At 40.6% G+C, this 6,000-nt stretch overlaps 1 annotated feature.

The window, feature by feature from the left end:
• Positions 5,670-5,739: an enhancer, noted in NCBI's record as "active region_25939". NCBI's record gives its function as "activates an Ori minimal core promoter by ATAC-STARR-seq in GM12878 lymphoblastoid cells {active_cell/tissue: GM12878}" and the evidence as "EXISTENCE:reporter gene assay evidence [ECO:0000049][PMID:35858748]".

Genomic DNA, 6,000 nt, shown 5'->3' with positions numbered 1-6,000 from the left:
TCAGTAACCCCAAGCAGGATAAATACAAAGGCAATCTTAAATGTTAAAAGAAGCCAGAGGAAAATAGGGTAACCACAGGAGTAACAATCAGACTGATGACAGATTTTTCAAAACAAATTACTGGAGTCAGAAGGAAAGAAATAACATTTTTAAACTGCTGGAAAAAATCACTGCCAACCTGGAATTCTACAGAATTCTATAGCCAAAATATTCTTCAAAAATAAAGGTAAAATGAAGATTTTTTAGGGAAAAAAATGTTTTAATGTGTACAGGGAGTTCTTCTGGAATCTTGTCATCAAGGGTAACCACTGAAATAATAATAAAATGATGTCAATAGTAAGTAATAACATAATAGTAAATAAATGCATAACTAATAGAATGATAGGTATGGAGAATGGAATAATAAAAAATGTTTAATCCAAAGAAAGGCAAAAAAGAGGAAAAGGAATATAAAACAGGTGGGACAAAGAAAAAAATTCACATAGTAGGTATAAACTAAAATATATCAGGAAATACATTTACATGTAAATGGACTAAACACCCCAAGTAAAAGACTAAGATAGACTGAATGAAAACAAAATAAAACCAAAAAAAATTAAACTATATGTTGCTACAAGAGACACATCTTAAGTATAAGGATGCAGAAAAGTTGAAGGTAAAGGAATGAAAAAATATAACCATGTGTATGTTGTGGGGCCACTTTCTGACTTGATGATTCACTGGAAGGACTCACTGGCCTCACAAGAGCTGTTATACTCATGATCGCACAGTTTTTCTTTTTTTTTTTTTTTTTGAGGCGGAGTCTCACTCTGTCGCCCAGGCTGGAGTGCAGTGGCGCGATCTCGGATCACTGCAACCTCCGCCTCCCGGGTTCAAGCACTTCTTCTGCCTCAGCCTCCCAAGTAGCTGGGACTACAGGCATGTGCCACTACGCCTGGCTAATTTTTGTATTTTTAGCAGAGACAGAGTTTCACTATATTGGCCAGGCTGGTCTCGAACTCCTGTCTTTGTGATCTGCCCATCTGGGCCTCTCACAGTGCTGAGATTACAGGCATGAGCCACTGCACCTGGCCCACACAGTTTCTTAAAGCAGGAGGTTACAGATTAAAATCACCTAATGGAAAAGGCACATGAGCAAAGTCCAGGGGAAAGTGAGCACAAGCATCCAAATGTCCCCTCCTAGTGAAGCTGCTTGGAGTATGCTTAATTCTCCCAGCAACTATGTGCAATCACATACTAAGTACTGCCAATCGAGGAGGCTCATTTGAGCCTCGATGTCCAGAGTTTTTACGGAGTGTCAGTCACATAGGCAGGAATTGTCTGCATGACTGACCTTAGCTACTCAGCCCCTAAGAGGCCAAAGTGATACAGCATAGCCCAGGACCTCAGACACACATCACAAAAGCCACATTGTTAGCATAAGCTATCTGGTTTTACTGGTTTATAGGACTGCCACAACAAAATGCCAGAGACTGAGGGGCTTAAACAACAGGAATTTATTTTCTCACAGTTCTGGAGGCTGGAAGTCCAAGACCCAAGTGTCAGCAGGGTTGGTTCCTCCTGAGGCCTCTCTCTTGGGTTGCAGGTGGCCGTCTTCTTGCTTTGTCTGCATGTGGTCTTTGCTCTTTGTGTCTGTGTGTCCTACTCTCCTCTCTTAGAAAGGACATCTGTCAGATTGGATTAAGGCTCACCCTAGGGCCTCATTTAACTTAATTACCATTTTTTTTTTTTTTTTGAGATGGAGTCTTGCTCTGTCTCCCAGGCTGGAGTTTAATGGGGCAATCTTGGCTCATTGCAACCTCCACCTCTCAGGTTCAAGCAATTCTCCTGCCTCAGCTTCCAGAGTAGCTGGGATTACAGGTGCCCGCCACCACACCCAGCTAATTTTTGTATTTTTAGTAGAGATGGGGTTTCACCTGTTGGTCAGGCTTGTCTCGAACTCTTGATCTCAGGTGATCCACCTGCCTCGGCCTCCCAAAGTGCCGGGGTTACAGGCATGATTAATTATCTCTTTAATGGCCCTATCCCCACATACAGTCACATTCTAAGGTGCTGGGAGTTAGGGTTTCAACCTATGAGTTTTGGGGGAACAAAATTCAGTCCATAACACTGACTTAATGGATACAGCATGGCCCAAGGTCTCAGGCAAACAAAAACAAGCTTTCAAGCAGGATATTCCAAGGGTTGCCTCTCTGGAACCTACCAAGGGGAAGTCCATTCTTGGCATGTGCAGGCCCTGGACCAACCAAGCCTGATGAGTTAACCTTTTTCTGCACACCATGAAAGCACTAATCAAAAGAAAGTTAATGCAGCTGTACTATCACTAAATGAAATAGACATTAAGAAAATAGGACAACTGTAGAGGAGGGGGAACATAAAGTGATAAGGTGGACTCACCAAAAATATACAATGTAAAAATCTATATGAACTGCACATAACTTCATATTATATAAAGTAAAAACTGACAATGCTAAAAGGAGAAGGAAAAATTGGCAATCACAGTGGAAGACTTTAACCCTCCTCTTATAATAAATAAGAGAACAGCAGACAAAAAACTCAGCAAGTAGAATACCTGCCTAACGTGATGAACAAACTTGACATATTTGACAGCTGTAGAATGCCATACCCAATCATGACAGCGCACGCACGCTTTTCTGATGCATATGGAACATTACAAGAATTGATCATATGGTTGAGCCATAAGTTTCAACACATTTTCAAAAGATTAGAATTATTCAGATCATGTCCTAGGAATAGAAGGGAGCTTTCTTATTCTGTTAAAAAAGTATCTATAAAAAACCTTCTTAATGATGAAATATTTAAAACCTTCCCCCTGAGATTTGGCATGAGCTGAGGATACCCACAATACTACTCGACATTGTCCTGGAGGGCCCAGCAACCACAAAAGGCAAGGCGAGCAGACCTAAAGGGAGGAGAGGAAGAAAGAAAAGTCATTATTTACAGATGACATCATTGTGTGCATCAACTATGCAAAAGAATTTCAGGCAACTTCTTAGAATTAATATGCAAAATTGGCAAGGTTGTTGGCTATAATGTTGCTGTGGATGGAATTGTGTCCTCCCAAAATTCCTGTGTTGAAGCCTTAACCCCCAGTGTGATTCAGTTTGGAGTGGGGCCTTTAGGAAGTAATTGAGGTTAAACGAGGTCATATGGGTGCCATCCTAATCTGATAGGATTGGTGGCCTTCTAAGAAGAGGAAGAAAGATCTCTCTGTCCCCATACACAGACAATGGGTAGCCAGATGACAGCCCTCTGCAAGCCAGGAAGAGGGCCCTCACCAGAACCCAACCATGCAGGCACACTGATCCTGAACTTCCAGCCTCCAGAACTGTGGGAACACTAATCTCTGCTGTTTAAGCCACCCTGTCTGTGGTATTTTGTTATGGTAGCCTGAGCTGACTAGTACAAATGTCGATATTTTTAAAATTGTGCTTATATGTATCAGCAACAAACAATAAAAAAAGATATAAAAATTACCATTTATTAGCTGGGCATGGTGGCTCATGCCTATAATCCCAGCACTTTGGGAGGCCGAGGTGGGTGGAACACCTGAGGTCAGGAGTTTGAAACCAGCCTGGCCAACATGGTGAAATCCCGTCTCTACTAAAAATACAAAAATTAGCCAGGCATGGTGGTGGGCACCTGTAATCCCAGCTACTTGGGAGGCTGAGGCAGGAGAATCGCTTGAATCCGGGAGGCAGAGGTTGCAGTGAGCCGAGATCGCGCCACTGCACTTCAGCCTGGGCGACAGAACGAGACTCTATCTCAAAAAAAAAAAAAAATCATTTATAATAGTGTTCAAAACCAACAAATACCTAGTAGTAAATCTAACAAAAGACATGCAAAACGTTTACACAGGAAATTATTTACTGAGATAAGTACATCTAAATAAGTGGAAGGATATATCCCATATTTGTGGATTGCAAGATGCAATATTAAATAATTTTGATTCTCTGGAATCTGAGCTATAGTTTTAGTGCACACACACCCCACCCCCAAATCCTAGAAGCGTTTTGATGGTGTGTGTATGTGCACGCGCTTGTGTGCGTGTGTGTGTGTGTGTGTGTAAATGACATACTGATTCTAAAATCTACTTGAAATTGCAAAGAACCAAGAATAGGTAAGATAAATTTGAAGAAGGAGAAGGAAGAGGAGGTAGAGGAGGAGGAAGAGGACAAGGATGAGAAGGGGAGGAGGAGCAACATCAAAGCTGGAGGACTTATACTACCATGCATCTAGACTCACTGTAAAACTACAGGAATCATCCAGTGTGATCTTGGTCAAGTACAGACAAATAGAATAACGGAATGAATCAGAGTCCAGAAACACTTTATCATATAATGGGAAAATAATTTTTTATAAAATTATTCCCGGGTGAATTGAATATATATATGGAAAGAAAATCTTGATGTCTACTTTACAACACAAACACCCCCACTTAATTCATAAGGATTGTAGAACTAAATCTAAGGAACAGACAATAAAGCTGTAGGAAAATAAACCATAGGTGATCATCTTTATGACCTTGGAAGTAGATAGTAATTTCTTAAGTGGGATATAAAAAGCACAAATGCCATTGAGCAAAAAAACTGATAAATTTGCTCACATTGAAATTAAGAACTTATATTTCTCAAAAGACATCATTAATAATGTGAAACAGGGTGAAAAGACAAGCCAGAGTGGGAAAAGATATTTGCAGTGAATGTATCTGACAAAGGACTCCTATCCAGAATATATAAAGAGCTTCCACAGGTTGGGTGTGGTGGCTTATGCCTGTAATCTAGCACTTTGAGTGGCTGAGGTGGGAGGATCGCTTGAACCCAGGAGCTTGAGACCAGCCTGGGCCATAGGGTAAGACCTCGTCTCTACAAAAAAAAAAAAAAAAAAAAAATTAACCAGGAGTGGTGGTGCACACCTGTAGTCCCAGCTACTTGGGAGGCTGAGATGGGAGCATTGCTTGAGCCCAGGAGGTCGAGGCTGTAGTGAATTGTGACGGCACCACTGCACCCTAGCCTGAGTGACAGAGTGAGACCCTGTCTCAAGAAAAAGATGAAAGAAAGAAGAAAGAAAGAAAAAGAAAGAAAGAGAAAAGAAAGGAAGGAAGGAAAGAACTTCTACAAATCAATAAGGAAAAGACAATCCAATAGAAAAATATGTTAAAAACATGAACTACATTGTACAAAAAGGGATATCCAAATGGTCCAAAAACCCATGAAAAGGCACTCATCCTTAAGAGCACCTCATGAGTCTTCAGGGAAATGAAAATTAAAAACCACAATGTAATATGCCCCCCCACCCCTGACCACACTCACTATAATGACCAAAAATCTTACAATACCAGTTGTCATCTGCAAGACTATGGAGCAACCAGAACTCTCGTGTTGTGCTGTGGGAATGTAAGTCAACACACTTTGAAATCCTGTGGCAGTGTCCATTAAAAGCGAGCACCCACATACCCAGTGACCCAGAAATTCCATGCCTAGATATTTGCTGAACAGAAATGGATGCTTAAGTTCACCAGGACATGAACAAAGATGTTCGTCATAGCATTATTCGTAACAGCTCAGAACTGAAAACCACCCTGGTGTTCATTATCGGTAGAATGGGGATTTACATAATAAATGTATAAATATATGTAAATAAATTCACATGATTTAGACTAGACACATGATTTAGACTAGACGAAAAAGTTGCTATTGCTACATACAGAAACATATTTGAATATCACAAACATAACATTTGGGGGTTTTCCCAGACACAAAAGAGGAACTACTTTATAATTCTACGTATTTAAACCTCAAAACCAGGGTATACTAGTCTATGTTGGCAGAGGTTGAGATAGTAGCTACCACTATGGGAGGGGAGAGGACATAAGGTATGCAGATATTGTTCCTTTTCTTAATTGAAGTGCTGAGTGAAGGTGGAAATTTACTGAATGTTTACTTGTAATCTGTGTGCTTTTCTATTTACATTCCACCT

Source organism: Homo sapiens, chromosome 7, assembly GCF_000001405.40.
Source record: "Homo sapiens chromosome 7, GRCh38.p14 Primary Assembly".
Classification (NCBI taxonomy): domain Eukaryota; kingdom Metazoa; phylum Chordata; class Mammalia; order Primates; family Hominidae; genus Homo; species Homo sapiens.
This window is presented reverse-complemented; position numbering and strand designations above follow the sequence as displayed.